Source organism: Homo sapiens, chromosome 3 (assembly GCF_000001405.40).
Source record: "Homo sapiens chromosome 3, GRCh38.p14 Primary Assembly".
NCBI classification, from domain to species: domain Eukaryota; kingdom Metazoa; phylum Chordata; class Mammalia; order Primates; family Hominidae; genus Homo; species Homo sapiens.
The window spans coordinates 134,858,422-134,884,168 of NC_000003.12; the positions used below are offsets into that span (position 1 = coordinate 134,858,422).

Consider the following 25,747-nt stretch of genomic DNA (forward strand, 5'->3'; position numbering starts at 1 on the left):
CAGGTAATTACTGCCGAACATCTGTTAAATATGGGGTCTCATTGATGGCTGGCATGTTAGTCAGGGAAGTGATGGTGTGTTTGCAGTCAACATGGCAAGGGATGATTTAAAATCTGTTTCCATCAGCAGCCCACAGAGCAGCCCCAACGTAAATTAAGGAGCCTGGAGCTTATGTAACCTGAGTGCCAAATCACCTCCAGAAAGGGCTGCAGGAAAGCGTCTCTGCTCTGGAAAGGCTGCTAAAAATAACACTACGGAATGATAGACCCCTTGGAGCTGGTCGAATCCACTTATCCTGCTGTTGAGGACACTAAGGTGGAGCAGGGAGGGAAATGACCACAGAGTCAATGACAGAGCTGGAACCAAGGCCAGCTGGCCAGAGTTTCCAGCCAGGACAGCCCCACAGTGGGTCCCCAGAGCCCAGCCTGCCTCAGTAGAGTCCCGCAGGGGCACTTGCTGAAGATACGGGGCCCCTTCCCACTGGGTGAGTGAGATTCCCTGGGGTGGGGCTTCAGCTGATTCTGCCACACCACCACATATGGGGAAAACTGCTTATATCACAGCCACCCTGCCCTCACGGTGACTGAAGTGAGCTGAGATAGTGGGACCAAGGGAAGCAGGAATTAAGGGAGATTTATTCTCCAGTTTATAGGGCTTTTTCTTTTTCCTATCTACTTCTGAGAGGTGGAAAAACACCTTGGACTTCTCCCTGGTTTCTTGAGTCCTTCTTATCAGGATCTCTCAGTTAACTGGTTTAGATTCTGACACAGAGACATGCAGTATGATATTTTCTCTGCTCCTTGTCTCTTTAATTGCACCTCCTTCGATCTCATTGTTTGATGGTGACCGACCGGCAGAGAAGAGTTCCTTGCAAACATGATCTCAGGGGGAGTTAATCAGGAGGATTAAGGGAAACTCACCTTGGGCAGCAGCCCTCACCCCCACAGCCATCCTGCTGGATGTTAACTTGGGAGCAGAAAGAGATTTCTAGCTTGTTCAAGGCCATTCTGGCCAAGGTGTGTAGCAGATCTGGGTCCTGATCTGGGTCCAGTGGTCTCAGACTTGGGATCTCTAGAGGGTTCATCCCAGGGTGTTGCTCTATGAAACCTGGTGTCCCCACCCCCTGGCTGAGACCCCGTTGAGCCTTCTGCTGGAACCTACAGTGGCTAGTCACAGGGCTTCATAGCATCTTCCCTCTGAGCTTCAAGACCCTGGCTTCTGTCCTCATGGAGCCTGCCAGCTGCCCCATTAGGACTTTTAATTTCTCCTACCCAAGAGCAATCATTCATCCAATTAACAAGCAGTTATTTTTGTTTGCCCTTTTCAGGTTAATGATTTTGGTCAGAAAATCGCTAAATTCATTTTTTGACTCCTCTTCCATAAATTGTATAAATTTCTAGGTGCATACAAATTTATACGGCCGCAATCATAATTTGGTATCTTGCTTTTATTCTCTTCATCATTTTGTTGTTAATCTTTTCTTTGCTTTACATAACCTCTATAATTTTCATTTTTTGATGTCTTTGTAATAGCCCATCCAGTGGCTGTATAATATTTAACTATTCCCCAGTTTTGTGAAACTGGAAATAAATATATTATGTATTTCACCTTTTTTCATATGGTTTTTTCTTTTGATAAACACTGAAGATTGTATATTTTTTGAACACTTTTTAGCTGTTGAAAGTGCAGAGCTGTGTCATATTCAGCTGTAACAAAAGAGAAGGAAGGGACACACACACACACACACACAGACACACACACACACACACACACACTCTGGGAAAGGGGCACAGGGATCAGCTGACCCCTCAGCCAGTCTCCTGTTCTGGGAGCATCTCCGCCATACTCAGTGTTAAGGACTCTTGTGTTAAAGATGCGTGGTTTTCGTGTTCTCTGGCACCTAAGTGTAGACCAACTGCTTCGTCTGGTACCTAGCCAAAGAAAGGGGCCATCTGTTCCTAGGCTGGTTGGAGACATGGAAAGATAACACATTATCTCCAGCACAGTGCCCTCCTTAGGGATTTTCAAGGGCAGTTTTGACTATATGCACCTTCCACCCTAACACTGGCATAAGAAGCAACTCCACTTTACACTTTAAAAAAAGATTTCTTGGCCGGGCGCGATGGCTCACGCCTGTAATCCCAGCACTTTGGGAGGCCGAGACGGGCAGATCACGATGTCAGGAGATCAAGACCATCCTGGCTAACACGGTGAAACCCCATCTCTACCAAATATATAAAAATTAGCTGGGTGTGGTGGCAGGTGCCTGTAGTCCCAGCTACTTGGGAGGCTGAGGCAGGAGAATTGCTTGAACCCAATAGGCAGAGGTTGCAGTGAGCCGAGATTGTGCCACTGCACTCCAGCCTGGCCAGGTGACAAAAAAAAAAAAAAAAAAAAGATTTCTTGACGCTGTCCTGTGACTGACATTAGAGCATCTCATGAGTCATTGCAACCCCCAGTAGACCCTGGCTCATCCCCAGATTTAATAGGTGAAAGTAGTACTACAAAGTTCACTGTTTCATTTGCACGTGTTTGCTGCACGTTTTGTTTTACTATGTGTGCTTCTCTAAGAAGCACTTAGTAATTGCCTGGATATGGAAGATGCAGTGAGTGGAAGAGTACAGGGAAGAACAGGGCCCCAGGAGGAAACTGGTGAACTGTAACGCCAGTTAGAGGGCAGGGCTAGGTCTACAGATGTTGGAATCATAGTGCTAAGGGCATGAGTGTGGTGAGGAATGTAGCAGGGCATAGGCACATATGTACAGAGTGACATTAGTGTTGGGGGGCAGGAAATATGAAGAGATGTCAAGTAGAAAGAAGATAATGCCATTCAAGAGTTGTCAAGGGCCAGGATATTTAAGCAGAAAGCAGCTGAGTACATTACATCAGATGTGGCCAAGACAACCAGGGACAGAGAGAGCAATGGCCAGGAGACAACCTTGGCAGGCCTGTTTCCTGGCACAGTGGTATGGACTCCACATTTTGGGGGATGAGGAGGGAATGTGAATGGATAGGGAGGCAGTGAGCCTCCAAGTGTAGACTTGAGACTTTCAGCAACCAGACATAGAGAATTTGCAGTACCAGCTAGAGGAGGCAGACGGATTTCAGAATAAGGAAAGTCATGCCAGCTTCCAGAAAAGAAAAGCTGAGGAAAAACTGTGTGAAAGAGTTACGGAAGGGATGGGAGCGGGGAGAGTGTGAGGGACTGAGAGGGAAGATAAGGAAACAGGGGGAGAAATCAGACCCCACAGAGGTGGGAAAATGTGTTTAGTACTGTTAGGCTAAAATAATAGCTTGTTTGGCATCGGGGGAGGGAGAGCATCAGGATAAGTAACTAATGCATGCAGGGCTTAATAACTAGGTGATGGGTTGATAGGTGCAGCAAACCACTATGGCACACGTTGACCTATGTAACAAACCTGCATGTCCTTCACATGTATCCTGGAACTTAGAATAAAATAAAATTTAAATTAAAAAAAAGAGAATAGCTTATGTGTTAAATGGCCCTCAAGCTTCTCCCACAGCCAAGCTTGGGTATTCATTTTGGAGGGGTGAAGAGGAGCCCTGAAACACATGAACTTAGCAGCCTCCCATGAAGGCCTTAGGGTGGGGCTTTGCTGCACAGGGATTCCCGAGAACATTGATCTTGGCCTTCCTGTGCCCCTGTGCTCAGCTCTCAGATCCCCAGATCTTCCCAAGCATCATAGGTGAGGGAAGGGGGATGGAGAGGCCCATGGGCAAAGCCTCCTGAGTATCTAGCGCTGGGCTCAGGGCTGGGAGAAGCACCTGGCTTGCTGGGCAGCTCTTTGGAGGCAGGAACAGTTGGTGCAGGTTTGGGGCTGGTGGGGGATGATGGAGAGGGACAGGGAGAGAGGAAGAGCAGTTTGAGTTGGGTCCAAAGAGGTTAGCGTACTCCATGGGTGCATGGGTGTCTTTAGTTTGTCTTCATGGAGCCCTAAAACAGACTTTCATATGATTTAACCACAGTTCTTTCTCTGAGGGTACAACGCTGCTTGGTCATGGATTTATTTTTCTGAACAAGCTATTATTCCTCATTTTGTTCAAATCTTGTAAGCTCAAAAAAAAAAAAAAGAAAAAGAAAAATACTCAATTAGAGTAAAACTTTAATTAAATCAAAACACTAATTAAAATATATTGTCAATTACAATAAAGCACTGATTAAAGTGCTCCTAACAAACAGCAGCCAATACTGCCCAGGGGTGGAAGCTCCAGCCTTGGTTGCCGTGTGGCTCAGAGGATCTGGCTGGACATGTTGCCGTGGCCATTGGTGTTTGGGGATCAAGAATCTGAAGGCTGGTCTTGGGCCCTGGAAACAAGACATCCCTTTTGCTGTGTCCTCCAACCCCACAGCACAGTTGATGACCCTCCTGTTCCTCCTCCTGGAGCCAACAGGGGCTGTCCTTTTGGGGCCCAGTGTAAGAAAGACTGTACGTCACACACAGGGCTTTTTGTGTGCCACGCCTGGAATGTGTGCCACACTGGTGCCCAGTGGAATTTGGGGCCATCCTCAGTGGTACGGCTTTTCTGAAAACCACTCTGTGTGTGTGGCTTTGCTACAGGGCTTCCTGGAGAGAAGCTGGGGTGGATCCTGCGTTCCCTTGACCTGGCACTCATGGCCTCATGCCACCTGGGTTCTCCTACCTGTCTTCTCTCATCTTCCCCCATGCCTGTGCACACACTGTGCACACTGCCTCTATTTTCTGCCACAGAGGTTTCCTAGCTAACTGGTAAATTACTGGAAGGAATAAAGACGTTTCTTTAAAGCTATCCCTGGCCACAGTGCTCCCCAAGGCCCTGTTAGGTGCATCTTCCCATTGTTCTTGTATATCTGCCGGCCTGGACTGGCCTGTTTCGCATCATACTGCAATTGCTTATGTACACAGCCAGTGAAATATCTTTGTAGAAGTCAAGAGTTTAAGTTAAGAAATAGGATTAACTGGCCAGGTGTGGTAGCTCACACCTGTAATCCTGGCACTTTGGGAGGCCAAGGCGGGCAGATGTGCCTTTCTTTTAAACCTCATGTGCGCTTTCTTTCAAACCCAGTCCCCTTAAGTGGCAGCAAATGCCAACTGGAACAAAAGAAGGAAGAAATTAGGTAAAAGGAGAATCAATACTGGTGCTAAGTTTTTAAAGACTTAACAGTCTTTTACTATACTTGGTTTGAGGGAATGGTAGCTATTACTTCAGGGCTCTTGGAGCAAGTTTTTAGAAAGAAATTCAACATTTTTTCATTTGCTCTTTCACCACAAAGCCTGGAAATAGAAGAGGTGGTATAGCCTGCAAAGCATGGCTCCTTCTTTCTTGCTAATGTTGCATTGTCGTACCCAGTTTCATATATAAAGTGGAGCTCAGGAAAGCCAGGCCTGCCGTGCTGGCATCCTGTTCTGTCCAGCTTCCTATGCCGTAGACTGCTTTCTAGCCCTGGCTCCTGGGGAGTTAAAGCAGATAATAAAAGTGGGAAACTTGGCTACATCCTCTTCACAGCCGCACAGTAATTTTCATCAGGGAGGCTGGTGATGGTGGGGTTCAGGGACAGAGGGGTGGGAAATCTACAGCATACCCGCTGGTGTCAGGATGATGGCTGTCTCATTGGAAAAATGCTCTCAGGAAAGTAGCGCATCCTGTCCTCTGTCCTCTAAGAACAACAGAGACGATGGTTCAGCTGCAACCCTGCTCCCTAGCACGGGGCCTTTGTATGTTTTATGTGGCTCCACCAGCCTCTCTTCTGAGCCATCACTGCAGTTCATGGCTTTTGTGTGGGGTTCTATTCACCTCCTTTCTTTTCATCCCGTTTTATGGGTTCTGAAACATGCTCAGCCATCCTAGTGTCAGGAGAAGGTTCCCAAAGGCCAGGGGTCTCATTCCAGGCCATTTGGAAGTGTCTTGACTTCAGAAAGGGGCTAGCCTGTTTTCTTCCCTCAAGAGGCAGCTTGCCTTCCCTCTGTCTGGATACCTGGGCACACACATTCCTGCCTTTGCAAGCCCCTTCTGCTCTCCTGCTGTCCTTGGCCTTTTCTAAACCTTGTCTCAGGACTGAATGACAATCCTCTCTCATTCTGTTTTGCCCTGTCTCCCTCCCTCCCTTTTTCTCTCCTCTTAATAGTTCTATTTCTCTACTAAGCCACAGAGTCAGAGTAAAAAGACATCAGTGAACCTGAAGGAGGGAAATGAATTATTTTATCTCTCTGAAACCTTTTCCTGCTTTTGCTTTTCTGAAACCGTTTTCTACTTGCTTTCCATAAGAACCAAAATATTGCGGCAAGTGGGAGACAATCTCATCATGGCTGTGAAAAAGAGGGAGGCAATATGTCAGGGGGTAGCATGGTTTGTTTCTTCAGTGGAGCAGATGTTTTTGCAATACCCATTTCCTGCCAGCCCAGGCTGACCGTAGGGGAAGTGAATACAGTCCACAGGGCTGTCCCGGAGTGGCTCACATCCAACTCCCAGTGCATCCCACAGACCTGGAGTCCCTGAATGGGCCTCTAAGAGGTCAGGGAACTGAGATGCTATGTGTGTCAGTGAATGTTCCACGAAGAATTTCTACAGTTTTCCTCAGATTCTCAAAAAGGTTCAAGATCTAAGGCTGGTTTTCAAAAACTTTTGACTATGACCTATAGTAAAACATACGTGTGTGTGTGTGTGTGCATGTGTGTGTGTGAGAGAGAGAGTGTGTGTGTGTGTTTTCTGGATAGATATCTATATATCTGAAACAAAATTCCCAAAACAATGCTTACCCTTTCTACATGTAAATCAATGTGGTATTTTCTATTTTGTTCTCCTTTGATTATATTATAAACTATCTTATTTCATTGAAAATACTAATTGCAACCCATGAAATGGATTTCATGTCTCAGTAATGAGCCACAACCTGCATATTGAAATACACTGATCTAAAGGAAAATGTTAGGAATCACTGATCTGGGGGCTCTCATACATCACTAGTGGGAGTGTAAATTAGCACAGTTCTTAATAAGGATCTTTTGGCAATATCTATCAAATTTACAAATACATATACCCGTTGACCCTGATGTTTCATTTCTAGTAATATATCTTACAGATATTCTTATACTTGTACAAAATTATATTCAAGATAATTCTTTGCAGCATTATTTATAATGGCAAAAGATTGGAAACAGCCCAAATGTCTATCATTATAGAATTAGTTAAATAAAATGAAACATCAGCACAATGAAATAAATCTGCAGCTGTTTTAAAAAAAAAAAAAAGAAAGAAAGAAAGGGGCACTCTCAGTGACCTGACTGGAAAGATTGCCAAGATGAATAAAGTCAAACAAGCAAGATGCAAAACAGAGTGTTTCATACGTTACCTTTTGGATGAAAAAGCTAGTAATTAAGACTCTTTATTCATATTTGTATGTATTAGGTTCAACCATTTGAAATTGCCATTTTTAAAGGTTAAAACGGTTGGATATTGGGAAATTCATATGGTTCAACATAATATATGCTTATAGGAAGGGGAAGTTAAGAAGCTACGTTATCTGGAGAAAGGTAGGAGGAGACTTCTCACTGGGACTTGTTAAAAATAAGGAATCTCTGAGCAGATGGTTAACGGGAAAGGAATGGGGGTCACCCTGAGCTAAGGCAGAACCAAAGGCAGCCCCATGCCAGAGTGAGGGGTGAGCAGAGGCTGCCTGCCCCTGTCCTGATTCTCCTCTCCTGATGCCTGAGTCCCAGGGAAGGTCAGCCTTGGACAGTGGGCAAGAGGCTGGGAAAGCTGGACCAGCAGCTGAAGTCTGCTTCTGTCTACCTCCTTTGTCATTTCCTCTTTCTAGATGTATGTGGAAGATATGGTGAAAATGATTGAGAAGTTTAACTTTTCCAAATTTGAAATTTTGAATGCAATTGTATGTGACAAAGAAAGAGTCACTCGAGGAGTACTGACTGCTCTCGGCTGGAACTGGTGTGGCTCTTTACTTCTCAGAGGTGGGCTTAAGAGGGTCCAAGACTCCAGAAAGCTGCCCAAAGGCCATGCCCACTTCTGTCATGCCCAGTACCTGCTGCCTGCTGCCCCTTCCTGATGGTCAAGCTCTGTGGGATTCCTAAGGTCCTAGGGTCATCTGGGAAGGTGTCTTGAGTCATTGGCCACTGCTGGAGTGGGGGTATGGGGACACCTGGGAATAGGGCCTGGTCTGTCCACTCCAAAGCCCTTGCTGATGTCTTTTTCAGGTTTCCAATGCCAAGGAGGAACTCTGGGCAGCTGGCAGGGTATTTAGCTAGGTTTTTGCAGGACATGCAGCAACATTTACCAAGGCACTTCACCACTTTGATGAAACAAATTTGTTTTCATCAGCATGTGGAAGACAGATCCATCTCTCCAGGGGCAGAGGCACATATCCTAGGCTCCCAGAGATTCACATATGGGCCTAGCCCCGTTCCTTCCTCACCCTGGGAGCAGAACTGCTAAAGGGGAGCAGATACCCTCTTGCCCACACATCTCTTAGAAAACTCCACAAGGACAGAAAATCAACCTCAGAAGGCCTTTGTTAAGTAGGAATCTGAGCTACATGGGCCAACCTCTGGTCATTGAACACATTGAGCAGCCCATCGTGTCACTAGATACCTGGGGGCTGATCCCGTCCACTGAGAACGGACAATATGTTTGTATAGATGGGAGGGGGTGGCAGTGCTGGGAGGGCCACAGCCTAATTGCCTCTGAGAAGCTTCTTTTTATACTCTAGGTGTAGGCCAATCCCTCTTGTGGGTCACATTTCTTCATGAGCCTTAGGTATGCCTTTAATTCAGTTACAGTTGATTCTAGTGGACAGAGATCTTTAGTTTCCCTTCAAAAACACTATGTGTGGATGTCTAAGTTATTCATTTAGGGGAGGTTTTACTCTCCCTCTCATTTTCTGCCTATGTCATACCTAACACCCCACTGCTCAAATGATGGAACCAGCATTTGGACTATGCTCAGTAAAGGGGTTGGTGCCATCCCAGTGGGTCTCTGTGCAGTTAATCAGGACATGCTGGGCAGATGGAGTGGAGCGTGTAGGAGCTGGGCAGGGGCCAAGTAGGAGGCTGCTCCAGTGAGCAGCCCAAGGGCCTAGGTGAGAGGAATAAGCAGGTGACAGGGAGTGAGAGGTGCACTTGGCCTGGGGAAGGAAGAAGCAACAGGCTTCAGCAGTAGAATGGCTATTAGAAGTAAGAAGACAGACATGACTCCAGCTTCAACTTGGTGATGGAAAATGGGATGGGGAGGAGTCTTGGAGAAAAAACACCGAATGAGTTCAAGATTGTATTCCAATTTGACTTATGATGGGGATGGAGGTTCCCATTCTCCATCTCCCTCAGCCCCTATTACCCGCCCTTGGCAGTTCACTTCAAGTTTGGAATTGGAGAGTAGATTGGCCTCCCAGGTCATTGAGGGAAATGCTGTGGGAGTTGTGTGCTGGAGTTCTCGCCTCCTGGGCTCTGGAACCAACAGTTTCTTCAGTCTGTAATGGAAAAGGAACTGGGAGAATTGGGAGAGAATTGGAACCAGCAGAGGGTATACTCTGAGGACAGTAAGTAAAGACCTCTAAGCATGAAGTTCAGGGAGATTTGAAGAAGGGACTCTGATTCCACCGCAGCCATGGAGAAGACTAGGGTTAGATGAGTCACTGATGGATGAGTTAAGGTTTAATGAAAAGATACCCAATTCTACTTAAGTGCTTATCTTTCTTTGCCTCTTGTTCTTAAATTATGTATCAGATTTTTAAATGTGGACATGATTAATGCTACTTAAGATCTCTGGTTGGCTGCTCTATCAAAGAGTTATATTTTAACTTAAAATGCATAACTGAGAGGAGGCTCTTACCATTTTTTATCAGTTAATCACTTGTGCATAAAGCTCAGCTGTTTGGACCCTAAGGCCATAGATGGGGGCACCACTGCCCTATGGGTGGTAATTTACCCTCATTACCACAGGGTAGTTTGGAGAAAATGAACTACCCCCTAAGTGTTGCTGCTGTAATGTGCAATGAAGGTTACAAGGAATACAGAGGATCTTATGTTCTTCCAAGAAGGAAAATTGATTTGGAAGGTAAAATGGGAGAGAGGAAGTAAGGTGCTTATGCCAGGGGAGGGGGTGATCTTAATCTCCAGGCACATCAGGGAGAGGCCATGGAGAAGCTGATCTTTGAAGAGGGAAAGGATCTCAGAGGGCTTGAGAAATGGAATACTGAGTGTGAGACTGACTCAGTTCAGTTCAGTAGATATTTATTGAGACCTACTATGTGTCAGGTTCTGGAGATACAGACAAGAAAACAATAAGACATATTCCTGGCTTCAAGTTGTGCACCAAATTATGGGAAAAAAAGCTGACAAACAGTGAATATGATACACTTGTGGCTTATGCAATAATAGACATTTGCACAAGGCACAATAGGGACCTCCAGATGGGAAAATAATGAATCCATGCAGTGGGCCTTGCTGTCGTGCTGTGCCCACTGCCATCCTGTACCATTGCCGCTTGATGCATTTGAGGTTCTAGGCCTGCAGGGCCTGATAAGCTCTTACCTGAGACAAGAGTAATTGGATTCAAATCCTATCTCTGCCTCTTACAAGTTTTGTGGCCTTGGGCAAGCCACTTAACATTTCTGTGCCTCAGTTTCCTCACAGTGATACTTCACAGGGTTGTGAGAGGATTAGATGGTGTTACATAGTGTTAGCTTTGATGATGATGATGATTTTGATGTGGAGGAAGAAGAGGAGTGGAAAGAGAAATAATCTAGGAAGCAAAACTGGAAGGGAGTTTTTAGAGGAGAAAAAGCCAGGCAGGTGATAGAGAGCCCAACCCACTTGGCTTAAGCAAACAGGGAATTTATCAACAGTACACTGGGAGGATTAAACAGTGCCGTGGATCTGGTTTCTTGTTGCACCTCTGTTGGTTGCTCTCTCTGGGCTGATGCCATTCTCAATAGACTCTGCATGACCTCACCATGATGGCTGCTTCCTGGGACTACACCTTCCGGGGGAATTCAGTGGGAAATAATAGCAACAGTTTTTTTCATGCTCTCCCAGGAAGAGCCCTTGGATGGACCGTGGGAGGGTTAAGTCTATGTCCTATGCTGAACCACTCGCTGAGGTCAAGGGGATGTGATGCCCTGGTTGGCTGAGTGATTGGAGGCCATTCAGCTCTGGTCATCTGAAACACACCCTCTGCAATTTCCACCTCTAGCTTCTTTTAATAGAGCAAGAACTTTAAGACTCTAAAGCAATTTGAGTGCAAACTCTACTAGATTTTTAATGACATTTTGTTTCTGATCTTTTAGCTTTGTCTTACTCTATACAAAAGTGATAGCAGTTTTTTTTTAGCAACTTGCATTTGTTGTGTCTTTCCAAAGCATTCAATTTATTATCATAGAAGCCACAGCTCTTTCTTTTTACATTCATGCTTTATTGGTTTATTAATATTTAATTAAATTAAGTATTTATAATGACAAATACAGCTGGCAAACAGGTGTGGGGACAAACACAGCAGACCTTGGGTAAGCATTCTATTTAACTCATGGGGCACACATGCAAGGCTATTCTCGAGCCATTGCAGGGCTGTGAGCACTGGGTCTGTGCATTTTACAGAGCACAAAGAAAGAGCAGATAAGCAGAAAAATCAGGTAAGGATATTTAAGAGAGTTATTAGTGCTTGGGTTTCTTTTGGATGGCTGGCATAGATGGGTTAATTGCAGTGGTTGTTGAGAGAGTGAGCTGGGTCTATATGGGAGAGAAGGTGAGATCAGGCCTTCCTGAGGTGAGCCAAAGTCCAGAGAGAGGCAAGAGGACTTCGGCCCACATCTAGACCTGATGACCAGGGTCTTCGGCCATCTAATCTGAGCAAGGAAGACACCCCGGGCAGAGTTCATAAGGTCAGGGTGGGGTTGTTAGGAAAGCATAGATCCCAGCTTCCCCACTCTGAGTATATTTAATCAGGGCATGAAGAAAAGGAGAAGATACCATCCTCTAGCCCCAGATAGCAGAACAAAGCAGGAAGTAGCCCCAGTTCACAAAGGGGAGTTTTCCTGCCATCAACTGGGGAATATTCAGAAGCCCACTTAGAAAGGCCAGGAGAGAACTGATTCTTTTCCCAGGGACCCAACCAGACACAACAAATTCTGAATCGTGCTGGACCGTGGACACAGATCAGCACCATGAACGCTGGCGTTATCTAATGCTGCCCCAGATTGGCAGCACAGCCTGATATCAACTGTGACATGCTGGGACAACCTAACCTCCGAAAACCCCAGCCACAGGCTGAATAGACTCAGAAGTTCTGTCAATACAATGGGGACAAAATACCTACTGCACATAGTGTTGTGAGGGTTAAACGAAATGCGAATCACCAAGTTTCCAGTACAGAGTAAGTACTTAGTATCTGCTCCCTCTTAGCCATGTCTGCCTGTTTTTATACTGTGTGTGGAAATTGAGGCTCACAGAAGTTGAGCAGCTGCCTTGTTTATATGGCATAAGAAGCAGAGTAGAGTCCCAAAGCTTCCTCTTGTCTTTCAAGCCCCTGCTTGGTCCCTTATACCAGGCTGGCTACTGTCTGTCTAATACCTTGGGTGCCCCTTAGGCCCCTGGAGTGGGTAGCCTGTGAGCCCTTTACCATGGGTTACTACACACTGAGAAAGGTCTCTGCTTCATAGTGTAGTAGAGATTAGAAAAGCATAGGCTAGAGGGAAGTCATAAGAATACTTTGTCACTAAAACAATATTGGATAATGACCTTTTAAGCCAGCTGCAGCTCAAGGAACCTGAGAGCAGTCCAGTAATGATTACAGCTCAGGACCTAATGAAGAGACCATCACTTATTTATAACATTGCTGCTTTCTTGCTTTTATTGCTTGTGTGCCCCTGTGTCTAGGCAGGTGGATACCTTTCATAATCTGAGCAATAAATGAGTCAGTTTGGCTGATTCTCTAGGCTGGGAGGGCACCTGGGGTGAGGGAGTGAGGTGTTTGGCAGGTGAGGTCCCCAGGCACTGGAGTGAGGGGAAAGAACTGCAAGCTCTGGAGCTCCCAGCGGCTGGCTCGAAGTGGATTCAGTTTCCAGAGACAAACCAAGTAGATGTGAGGTTGTTGTTCTGCTTCTTCACCATTATAATAATAATGACCATATTCATTATTTATTATTTACTATCATTATTATTGCCTTTATTTATTGAGTGTATTGCACTTCATGTTCCAGGGCTTTCTGGGTGATCTCAGCCAATCTTGGGACTTTAAATACCATCTAGACACTGATGACTACCAAACTTACTTCCAGCCTAGTCTCTTCACTCACTGCAAACACGTAGCACCCCTTTGTCCTTAGATCTCTCTGCTGGGATTTCCAAGAGTCTCCTCCGCCATGTTATGTCCAAATGGGCGCTGCTCTTCCCTCAGTCTTTATAACACTGTAAGTGGCACTATGTTCTACTGGGTTGTTCTAGCCTCCAAACAAGGGTCATTTTTAATCTCTCCCTCATCCAGAGGCTCTGAAATGGAGCCATGTGGTAGCCAGATAGCTTCATAGGAAGCACAGGATGCTGTGTTTTCATGTGGTGACACAGGGGTGGTCAAACTGCCCTTCCCTCCACCTCTGTTACTTGCACCTGCTCTTGCTCCCCTGTAGAGGGGATACTTTTTTGCTGTAAATTTCTTGACTTTCTGGTCCTACCTCTTTGTTTTCCCTCTGGTACATTCTGTTTGTTCTGAGCCTCACCTGATGTCTGAGAATAAGGGACAACCTCTCACAACAAATTGACAAGGGATGCCTGTGTTCCGGGTAACTGTTTTGCCTCTCCAGGAGGAAGCTGATACTGTGTCTGCTTAGGGGTCTCCAGGATATCTCATAGAGCACAGCCTCAGCGTGGTTAACCCGGACTCTTGTAAGCACATTTGAAAGATAATTCCCATTCGAGGGAGAGGCCCTTTGTGAGCAGTCTTAATTCTCTTTCCCATTGCCTCTTCTATTTCTTATAATTTGGATCTAGTACAATTAATCAGACTGTAAAGGAGTCCAGGAACATTAAGCAGAATTTGCCATTTTCATGCAAAGCTGAAAGACATGGCTATTTCACATGTAGTGATTAGACATTTTTATAGCCAACCTGTCACATTACACATCACAGATTTCCAATAAATAAAGCAAAGCTAGAATGGGGGCTGCCAGTTGTATGACAATCCAACTAACAATATCGTGGACAGAACAGTGCTTTCTTGACATCCAATTTACTCAATTACATGAGTGATCATGTCACTCCCTGCTTAAGCTCCTTCAATGTCTTTCCATAAATTATAATGAAGGGTGAATACCTTAGTACTTCCCCCTCCCCACATCATGCACTTATCACAGAGCACTGTAAGAGAATATTCTTGTATGCCTCCCCTACCAGACTGGGCACTCCACGAGGCAGGGAATACACCTTATTTTTCCCGGTATCCCTTGTCTAGTACGGAGCCTGGCATCCCAAGAAAACCCAGCAGAGGTTTGCTAAATGAATGAATGACTGAATGATCAATTTGAGATACTGTAGACAGGGACGGGGATGGACCGGGGAATATCTCATGGACCAGACATGGCTCATGTTTTAGCCACAATTCACACAGTGACATTTCTAGATGTTTGATACATCACCTGAAATTTTCTATCTCAGCATAGACTCTTAAACTAGAGCCATTAAATTAGAATTATGCCATTTTAACTACCCGTGCTGTGACAGAGATTGAGAGATCATGCACAAGAGAGAAAAAGGAAGGAGGGAGGGAAGAGAGCAAGAGCGAGAGGTTATGACAGCAGGCTTCAGAGTGAGTAGGGGCAGGCAGTGATTCCTCTGTGTTCTGATTCCCTTGTGCTTGTGGCCTGAACATCTTGCTGCTCTGAGTGCTATTAAGGATTTGTAATTTAGACTGGGCTTAGAACTGAATTCACCCCACCCATTCCCCAAGTAAGAGAAAACTCTTCTAGTGTGTATCTGACAAATTTATATGACCTAGATGGTTTGGGGATTCCTGCTGGATTTATCAGCATTCTAATAGCTGACAACTGTAATTGTCTTTTTACCTAGTCTGCATCTCTGCAGTAATAGTGTATATATTTATTGGGGAAATATGGCTGCGGGGACTTGTTACACGCTGTTGTTAATTTACAAGGTTCTTCTTTGAGCTGTCTGTCATGCACCGAGTTGATGGTCTTCTCCTTAGTTTGATTTAACTCCAAACCCTGCTTGCTGCCCTTCTAGAGAAGCAGGGTTTGCACGGTAGTGCCATGGGCCAGAGGGCCCTGGCCACGCATCTGTGTTAGCAGGTGGGGTCAGATGGCATGTCCTGTGATGATGTTAAGAAGGGAAGTTGGTATGAGGTTTAGGGCAATGGAGGGGTCTCCAGTGTGGGTTGGAGAACAAAAAATAAATGTGAACAAGACGTGATCTCTCTTCTACTCAACTTCAGGTTCTAGTTTTGGTGGAGTAATCCTATTGTGAGGTCATGGGGCAGTAGTTTGTCACTCAGGTTAGCAAGGAGAGACTGAGAAAGGAGAATGGGGAATTCTCCTCTCCACAAAAATGTTGACATAAGCAGAAATTCAGCTGCTTCCTTGGGTTGGTTCTTGGTGGAAACTTAAACATCAGCAGAGCTGGACAGACTGTGTTCACCAGGGTGGCTGAGTGGGCCTGTGGCCACAAGATGATCACAGAAGCAAACAGACAGAACTTTGGATATTCTTTAATGTAATCTCAAAATTTGGGTTTTTTGTGGAATACTATGCAGCCATAAAAAGGAATGAGATCATGTCCTTTGTAGGGACATGGATGAAGCTGAAAGCCAACATCCTTAGCAAACTAACACAGGAACAGAAAGCCGAACACCGCATGTTCTCACTCATAAGTGGGAGTTGAACATTGAGAACACATGGACACAGAGAGGGTAAAACAAACACCGGGGCCTATTGGGGGGTGGAGGGTGAGGGGAGAGAACTTAGAGGATGGGTCAATAGGTGCAGCAAACCACCATGACACACGTATACTGCAAACCTGCATGATGTGCACATGTATCCCCCCTTTTTTAAATAGAAGAAATAAAGGAAAACAAATTTTGGGTTTTGAAGTAAAATATTCACTTGAAATATCGGCAACAGATTCTAAAAACATTACCCACTGCACTGCCATCCCCCAACCCCCTCAAGGTCTGTGAGCAGCATTGGGATGGTGGGTCCTTTGGCTCCTGGAGGCAGCAGGCTGGCCTGGATGACCGGCAAGACTCCTGCATTGACAACCTCGTGGGTGGGCAGTGACTCTCCACTTCTCACCAGAAAGCACAGAGATCACTCCTAATGGGGAGACATGTGCCTCTTTCTTCTTGAGGATTGTCAGGAGGAGCATTCCCAATGTGTGGGCTGTGTTCATGATTGTAGTTACCCGATGGGCTATTTACAGAGTGTGGGCCTCTTTCTCTGCAGTCATTGCTAAGCCCTCCCTCTGCCTTCATACCAGGCGGAGCTTGCATTGCTATCCGCCTCTCTCAAGCTCAGAGTCACTGATTCGGTTTGAGGGAGACAGTCACTTTGTTACCTTTTCCCATGGTTGTCTGATTTGGGTAGCCAGTGCGTAAGGCTTTTGCATCACTTCCGGGGTACTTTCTAGAGCTCAGTCCTGGCATACTTAGGAACTCATCTCTGAAGGAACTGGCCTCTTATGGTGCTTGCTGGCACCCTGACAGAATCTCCAGGGGTGGAGGGCCCTGACTTGTTGTGCACGGCAAGGAAGCCCAGCAGCTCAGCTCAGAGTCCAGGCATGTGGCTGTGCTGGTTGGAGAGAAGCCAAGTGTTGTCCCTGATCTCTTTCTATTTGAATCAGCCAGAAACAACTGACCTGCCCACCTGGTGTCTCACCAGGGCTTTGTGTTGGCGGACAGAGGGGAGCAGAAGGCCAGCTGGGAGGGAGAGATTGGGCAGATGGAGGCACTACCGGCAATGGAGACGGGCATGTGGGCAGTATGAGAGGTCTCAGTCCCTGTGTCCCCTGTGGAAGGCAGGAGCACTTATGGAACTGCAGGGAGTGAGGAGCGGTTGATGGCCTTTAGAAGCCCCCAGGGAAACCCGGATGGCATGATACTGTAGAACTGTTCTGCCCCAAGCCTCCACATTAATGGTGCCATGGTCGCAGGCAAGTTCCTCAGTACTTCTGAACTTTAGTTTCCACATCGCTAAAATGTGGATAATAACTACCTCTCAAGGTGGTGATGAGCTAATGTTTTTGAGCGGGCTGGAAACACCATAGATCGCTGTACCTAAGTGAGATGATTATTGTGTTTACCTATTTTTATTCCATTTCTCAAGTACTTATTTTCCTTCCAAGTCTTTAAAGCAAAAATTTTAAAGACATCCCAAATAGAATAGGTCAGGGAAGTGGCCACAGGGCCTCTTTTGAGCCTTGTCATCTCCTCCACCCCCTCAGTAGCCTCCCAGCATCCCACCTGACATCCCGTGAGCCAGCCTCCACTCAGCTGCCAGAGGGAGCTTTCTAAACTGCACACTTGGTCTTGTCATCATGCTGCTTTGCAACTTTCAATTCATAATTCAGCTTTCGCATGGGAAATATGCACTGAGTCGTGTGCTAGGTAGGGAGCTTGTAATGAGAAGATGATGGGGCATAGTCCCATCCTCCAGCATGTGGTCTAGGGCTCCTCAGTCCCTGTGGGATAAGTGTCATGACTCCCATGTCCCCTGCCCACTTCCCCAGCCTTATCCTTCTCCACCCCTTCCTCACCCACATCTAGGTTAAACTCACCAGTGATGATTGGATAGTGTGCTGTTCTCCAACCATGTTCAGGCTGATGCTGGCCTCCCCATCTTTACCTGCACATCTCCAAGATGTCCTTTCTTCCTCCTTCATCCCTGTTCATTTGTCAGTTTCTTGCCCAGCCTGTAGGGCTCAGCCTCTGTAGAGTTGCAAGTGATGGAAATTCAACTCAAAACAGCTTAAAGGAAAAGGAAATTTATTGCTTCACAAAGCTGAAAAAAATACATACTTTCTGACACTGCTGGATCCAAGTGCTCAGGCAACACGAGGGCCTGGACTCTCCCCTCCCTTGGCTCTGCTCTCTTCTCAGTAAGGTTCATGCTTAGGCAGGCCCCTAAGGCAGTGGCAAAGACAGCCACCCAGATGTTCAGATTTGAAATGGAGACAGTACATGTCTTCATAGTGCCAGCAAAAGGCTGCAGGGAGAGGCTCAGTAGGCTGGTTTGGGTCATGTGGCTAATGGTTATGGCTGGGGTGATAGGTGAGGATGGCGCCAAGTGTTTGGGGTAGGTTGGGGAGGGTATGAGCCTCACTGAGTCACGTGGACTGAAAGTGGGAGAGAGTATACTACCAGAGTAGAATCAGGCACTCCTCCTAAAGAAAGGGGCTGTCAATCCAGGGCTGGCAAACACATTTGGTTCTAGCAAACCTTCTTTGACTGCTCCCACCTTCCCCAAGAGGTCTGCATGCTTCCCACATGCCTTGGTGCTGTAGGAATGAATTCCCAGTGGAATGAATTTTTCCTCATGCACATGTGTTACATTGAGCTCTGAATCCTACCACACGCCCCAGGTCCTACACCCCATGGGGCCTTGGTACCTGTAAGCCCACTGAGTGCATGCCCAGTCTTAGACTCATGCATAAATAGAGCCATGCTGAGCAGAGTCTGGAGTTAGATGGCAGACCTGGGGTCATGGTCCTGGCAATAGGCGTAGACCCTTGATGAACACACTGGTCCAAATCCTGTGGGTCCTGGGATCTAGGAAGATCCACCATTCAGGGTCACTCCTTTGTGGGCCAAGAAAGTCATGTCACAGACAGGACACCTGGAGAGCCTTAGCTTCAGATGGTAATGCAGTGCAGCAAGGATAGCAATCCAATAGCACAATATTGTAGGCGCTGGGCCCTTCCCTGTTATTTTGGGAAGGAAGACAGTCAACCCTGTTGCTAAGCCCCCTGACCCCCACAGCAGGGTCAGCCCTGAAGCTCTATCTCTTTGTTTTTGAACACCTGTCCTTCTTTTCCTATGACCCTCAGGCCTCCATATTCAACCAGTTGCTGCTGGGTGGTTTGCTGAACATACCCATGACACCAACTTTCCCAAAGACACTAATTCCAGAAACAGGGTCACCATCGGTCAGGAGATAAGCCACAAGAAAATTGTTACTGACAACAAAGAAACTAGGTTTGTGAATAATTTACTTCTCTTATAAATGGTAAGGGTTCAAAGTTGTTCCCTATAACACCTTCCCCCTCTCACTGCATGTGCTTTCCTGGTTGGGAAAGAAGAGGGTGTTTCTGCTATAGAAAGCTGGGGGCTGTGTGTTACCTGCAGCCTGTCATACCCGTGGTTTCGGCCCCATAACCTGGAGGGCCTGGGGATGCTGTGCCAGGCTTGTCAGTGTCACCCCAAGGCAGTGAGTCAGGCCAGATCCACTCTCTAGACCTTCAGCAAGAGGAGTCCTCTTCCACTGAGCTCCCAGAGCCTCCAGTGCTATCTGGCTGGCTTCCAGGTGAAGTCGGAGTGAATCCCACACAGTCCCTGGGAGCGGTGGCTGAGGGAAGGGTGGCTCCTCCTGCTCTGCCTCCTGGCCTGGGCTCTCTCTGCATGGAGATTACCCCAGCCTTCCCCCGGAGGGCAGGCACTGAGTGTGACAGGTTTTCCAACCCCAGCTGAGGACGGCCTTGGGTGCTGAGGCTGGAACTTCCTGGGAGAATCTTCTGGCCCCATCTCTATGGAGCCTTCTGAGGGATATTTGTATGTTATGAATTAAGAACAAGTTTTAGGCTCTTCTTTAAGCAATTTCTTAAGAAAATGGCTCAGGTGAAATATAGCTATTCTGAATAATTCATTTTCTTTATTCCAAACTTAAATTTACTCTACTCTTAATGGAGAATTAGCCAGATGTGGGGCAGGGATATTTGGCAGCTCATATTAACATTATCAAAGAACAAAAATGGCTGGAAACCCTTTGAATTAGAAACCCTACTGACTATTGATAGAGGAGACTGGCTGAAGAGGTCGACATCGTCATCCCCTGCTAGAGAGAAGATAGCTCCTCTCCTAAGGTTGGATGAGTCCTCAGTGCTGAGGACTGGGCTCCTGGGGACAGAGCTGTCTCTGCTATGGCTTCCTTGGCTTCCAGGGAGCTGATGGAAAGGGAAGATTTGGCCTCTTTGTGACAACTGTGATTATAGAGATAGACAATTTTATCAATCAGGAGTCTAGATGCTTAGAACTGGGAGGGACTTTTGGTGCCATACAGCCCAGTGTTTTCTGAACTTCTGTTCACACACCAACCACCCTGATGAATTTTTGCCATATGGGTTTATTGTCTGTACCATTATTGATTCACTTTTTTAAAACTTCAGTGTGTTCATTTGTAAAACAGTCACTATGGTACATGGGAAATTGGACATATGCAATGAATAGAGGACAACTTTTGATGAAAAAAATAACACTCGCTCTTACTAAAATCTAAAGCCTGCTCTCTTGTTTTTGGATAATAAGTGTTTGAGAGGTGTTAAAGACACACCATACTCCTGCCAAGACTTTCTCCGTTAAGATAATCAGAGGGATGGAAAAGGAAGTTGAAAGGGGCATGCCACTCCATGTGATCTTGTCTGGTGCACAGTAAAATCACTTTGTAAGTCACTAGTGGTGCCTGACTCCCTTCCTGCACCCAGGAAACCCTCCTCCCCTTTTGCAGGAGGCGTGACTAAGGCTCATACATGGAGTGGCATATCCAAGGTGCTCAGAGCTGGCTAGAGGCAGCACAGAATAGAGCCCAGCTCTTAGGATTCTCTAAGGAACTGAAACCATTGAATCACTGCTCAGCCTGAAAAACCAAAATCTGATCCAAATCCCAAGCCAAACCCACTTGCCAAGCACAGATCCTATCAATAAATGAAAAGAATGAAGGCCGGGCATGGTGGCTCATGCTTGTAATCCTAGCATTTTGGGAGGCCGAGGTGGGTGGATCGCTTAAGCTGAGGAGTTTGAGACTAGCCTGGGCAACATGGTGAGACCCTGTCTCTACTAAAAATACAAAAAAATAAAATAAAATAAATAAGTGGGTGTAGTGGGGTGCAACTGTGGTCCCAACTACTCAGGAGGCTGAGGTGGGAGGATCACTTGAGTCTGGGATGTGGAGGTTGCAGTGAGCCCAGATCATGCCACTGTACTCCAGCCTGGGAGACAGAGCGAGATCCTGTCTCCAAATAAATAAATAAATAGAATGGAAATTCAATGGAGGAAATTGGTCCTGGCATTAGAGCAAGGGAATCTAGTTTGGGCAAAGTTCTGGTAGAGATAAGACAGGTCTGTAGTGTTGCAGAAAGGTTTATATCAAAACCTAGCCTGATGCCATCAAAATCAGCAAAATCAAATTAAAAAAAAGTAGGGGTTGGTGAAGTCTAGTCTTAAATAAATTTCTACAAAGATAAAGAAAGTCAGAGAAATAAAATAAATGAGGCCAGAAAAAAACGATCAACATACCCTAGAGGATGTCTCAGACTTAAAGAACAAATAATAAAAACATTCTTTGAGAACCCTGGGCTCCAGTTGTTTTATTATCAATGCCAAATGCTGGAGTTCAGTGGCCTTCCCTGATGCTGCACTTTCCTCTTCTTTCTCAGCAACTGCACCTTTTGCTCAGAGGCTGGAAGAACCCTCTGGGAAGAAGCACTCTGCTTCAGTCTGAACTGGCCCAAGGGCAGCTGGTCAAACATTACCCATGGAGCAAAAGGGAGACAACAATGGTGCTATTCTCCAGCTGTTGAACAGCTGACTGGAAAGTGTGAGGATGTAATGTGACAGACCCGGGCTGCTTTGCCCTGGGAGATCTGTGGAAGAGTGTTCCTTCAAGACACTTCATAACACCTTAGGATTATAAAAAAGCTCCTGGGTCAACAAAGGGGCTTTGGTGAGGATACCTTCAGGGCTGGTTTGATGACTCCATACAGGGTACTTGCTGGGCACTTCCTATAGGAGGTAAAGACTAGTTCTGCTCTTTCCTCCTTTGTCCATTCCTCTTGTCACTGGCCTGAAATCAGGGCAGGCACTCTGTGGCAGCTGCCTGTTGTCATCCTAACAAGGAGTCCCTTCATGGAGACTGCTGTAGCCCCCCGACACAGCCAAGAGATGACCCCAACCACTTCCAAGGGTGTGGCATTGAGGGCCCATCACCAGAGGCCACAAGGCCAGACAGCTGGGCTCATACCACTGCTCAGCCAAGATTCATGTTGTTGGACCACCCTCTGAGCACCCAGCCAATGCTTGGGCAGAGCGGTAGATGAGCATCTGGGCCTTAGAGCCAAGCTGTGAGGCTGAGGGCCTGCGGCCCTTCCAGGCACACTCAGAACTGATGAGAATCCCAAGTGTGTCTTCACACGCAGATTAGGCAGCCAGGAATTGGGTTTCTGGGTCTTCCTTTTAAGAGGGATGGAATATTATCGCTTTATCTGTGAGAGGAAGAGATGATGTGAGAATTACATGGCCAAGGGTTCTGGGAGTTGGGATGCAGTTAAAGTGAATAAAATTGTTTCTCACTGGAGCGGCACCATTTCCACACTCACCTTGGCAGATCAAGGATAGTAGAGGGGACTTGGTCAAAAAAGTCTGAGCACTCTGTTCTAGTGGGGGATTTGGGGTAGCCAAATCCCCCACTAGATGTGGGAGTTGTGCTAGTTGTGGGAGATGTGCTAGTTGTGGGAGGATCTTTTGTTAGCGATGGCCCAGAGCCCTTGTATGCTGTTTCCAAAGCAGGAAACAGCATCTCCTGGGAGGCAGAGGCTCCAAAGGCTCTGTGGGAAGTGTAGGTGTGTGTTTCATGTGTGGATGGGTATGCTGGGGTGTAACATATATGTTGCAGTATGTTGTATGTAGATGTGTGCTTGGCAGGACAAGACATGCAGGTATGTGCAAGCAGATGGAGGCATGGAATTGTCAGAAAGGAGAACCCGAGAAGCAGAGCAAAATGCAGACCCCAGGCTGACTTGAGCGAAGGTGCCTTAGCTGGTGCTGGATAAGAGAAACCTCCATTCTAAAGCCGCCTCACCTGGGGCCCCACCTGCTGTCTCAGACTGATGCAGCTATTGGAAAGACCTACTAGTGGAGACTGATGGATAAACAGCTGTAGAGCTGGGTTGAAAGGGGTGCTATTCTGAAAGGATCTCTCTTTAAAACAGGCAAGACTTACAAGAGAAAGAGGCCTGACAAAGGGGTGCTAATCGGTTTATGGCCTTCAGCAGACATCCACTTTAGAGTGATAAATAAATGAATAATTGAAAGGGAGGAAGAACCTCTTAGACTACATCAGTCCCTTAACACAGGCATGGATCTTATTTTTAATCCCCAGAATTCTGACTTTTTAAAAAGAACTTGGCTTGGCAGGCAGTAGAAGAAAATGTGTGAGTGACTGCCATGACATCTGACCATGGTTTCATGCAGTTTCCATCAAAGATGACTGAGCAAATGGAAATAAGGGTTCACAGAGGGTTAATAAAGCTTTATTGCAAAAAACAAACAAAAAATTCATGGAATGAAATGATAATGGGAGCTGTCCAACAATATTATTTGGGATGCATCCAAGACTGTAATCAGAGGCAAGCTAATTCAGTACTAATTTCAGGAAAAAAGATGGGGAAAAAATTGATAATTAGAAAAGAAAATGGAAACACTAGAGGAATCATATACACATAAATTAGGTCCCAAAATACTGGCGCAATTAATCATAGCCAGGGGTGAATCAAGCCTCATCCTATCAGGAAGAACTGAATATTTCATAAGGTAGACAAAAGAGGAATGAACTGAGAGGAATATAACCAGCCATAACTAAAAGAAAAACTTGTCAGAAATTAACAACCAAAATGTGAGAGAGAAATAACATCTTCGTTAACCAGTGGGGATGAAAAATGGACTCAGAAAATACAACAAATGCTCATATTCCTCAAAGCCCCATCTTCTTCTATTGAAATTACAGCCATAACTTTCAAAAATCTTTTTATCTTTTCTCTCAGGACCAGAATGATTCATTGTATATAAAAAAGAAAAGAGAACAGAGGAAATAATTAAAGCTATAAAAAATTCCCAATTATGAAGCATCAGCGTCCAGATGGCCATAACACTGTTTAACCATGAGGAATCAACTTGTGGGTAGGGGGAGTCTGCTCTGAAATGATAGACTTCGAGACCTGAACATGTCTTTCTCTTGCAATCTTTCTCTCCTTCCTTCCTTCCTTCCTTCTTTCCTTCTTCTTTCCTTCTTTCCTTCCTTCCTTCTTTCCTTCTTCTTTCCTTCTTTCCTTCTTTCTTCCTTTCTTCCTTCCTTCCTTTCTTTCTTTCTTTCTTTCTTTCTTTCTTTCTTTCTTTCTTTCTTTCTTTCTTTCTTTTCTTTCTTTCTTTCTTTTCTTTCTCTCTTGACTGTCACCCAGGCTAGAGTGCAGTGGCATGATCTCAGCTCACTGCAACCTCTGCCTCTTGAGTTCAAGCGATTCTCCTGCCTCAGCCTCCCGAATAGCTGGCACTACAGGTGCGTGCCACCATGTCTGGCTAATTTTTTGTATTTTTACTAGAGATGGGGTTTCACCGTGTTAGCCAGGATGGTCTCGATCTCCTGACCTTGTGATCCGCCTGTCTTGGCCTCCCAAAGCACTGGGATTACAGGCGTGAGCCACCATGCCCAGCTTTGCAATTAAGCTTTCTTAGGATTGAATGGGAATATGAAAGGTCCCTTGCTTTGCTAATTCCAACATGTTGGCACTCCACTTTGAAGAAGGCAAAAGAAACCATTGTCTGTTTAGAGAAGCAGAAACTGGAAACATATCCAAACATAACATGAAGAAATGAGGACAGTCTGAGACAAAAGATCCACAGGCAGACATGAGTGGCCATAAGGAAGAGGAGCCCCTCATGCAGAGTTTATACCAAGTCCCTGATTTGAACCCAGGCTGACCAAAAATTAAATGTCCTGCCATGGAGGGTGGTGAGCATTCCGTCCCACACAGAGATGGCACAGTCTCTTGGCAGAAACCTTGGGGAAGATTCGAGAACTGGATTCAAAGGTCCTATTTAATCCTTGTGTTTTAAAATTCTAAGAATGCAAGCCTGACCAAATTTAAAGCCTCCCAGAAAGTTTAAGTGATTTAAGTTGTGTTTTTTTGAAGGAAGAGAGGGTTCCTGGGCTAGGTTTTAACAAGTGGCCCTCAAGGTATGAGCCCTGAATTAGCCATCAGAAAATAAAGTACACTGCTTCATTCAGAATGTATCCGGGTAAACAAGGGGATCACTTCTGTTCTGAGATTAGACCTTCCTGAGTAACCTGTGGTTATCATGGAGGCTCTGTAGCAGTTCCCAGTGAGGCCGGAGACTCAGAGGGCAGATACTGCCCTGCCTTAGAGGCAAGAGGTGGGTGAGTGGTCAGGGTGAGCACTCTTAGGTACCTTCTTGGTGCTGGGCATTGTACTAAATTCACTTCATGCATCATCTCATCATAACTCTGTGAATCATGATCCATTTCCCCCAGTTTAGGAGGTGAAGAAATGCAGCCACCATGAATTTAAATGACATAAGCCAGGCCACACCAAGGTGGCAAGCGGGATGGTATTTGAACCCAGGTCCATCCGTGCTAGAGCTGTGTGCCCTGCCCCATGCCACCACCCATTCTGGCCTCCATCCCTCAGCCCCTGTGACTATAGTCAGACTTCCAAGCCAGTGATGTCAAAATGTCCAAGCA

At 46.0% G+C, this 25,747-nt stretch overlaps 1 protein-coding gene across 1 annotated transcript in view, besides 1 other annotated feature; it reads left to right on the top strand.

The window, feature by feature from the left end:
• Nucleotides 1-25,747, top strand: part of EPHB1 (EPH receptor B1) — a 465,208-nt gene that overhangs the window by 63,162 nt on the left and 376,299 nt on the right. The gene's annotated exons all lie outside the window — the stretch shown is intronic.
• Nucleotides 16,581-16,840: an enhancer, noted in NCBI's record as "active region_20575". NCBI's record gives its function as "activates an Ori minimal core promoter by ATAC-STARR-seq in GM12878 lymphoblastoid cells {active_cell/tissue: GM12878}" and the evidence as "EXISTENCE:reporter gene assay evidence [ECO:0000049][PMID:35858748]".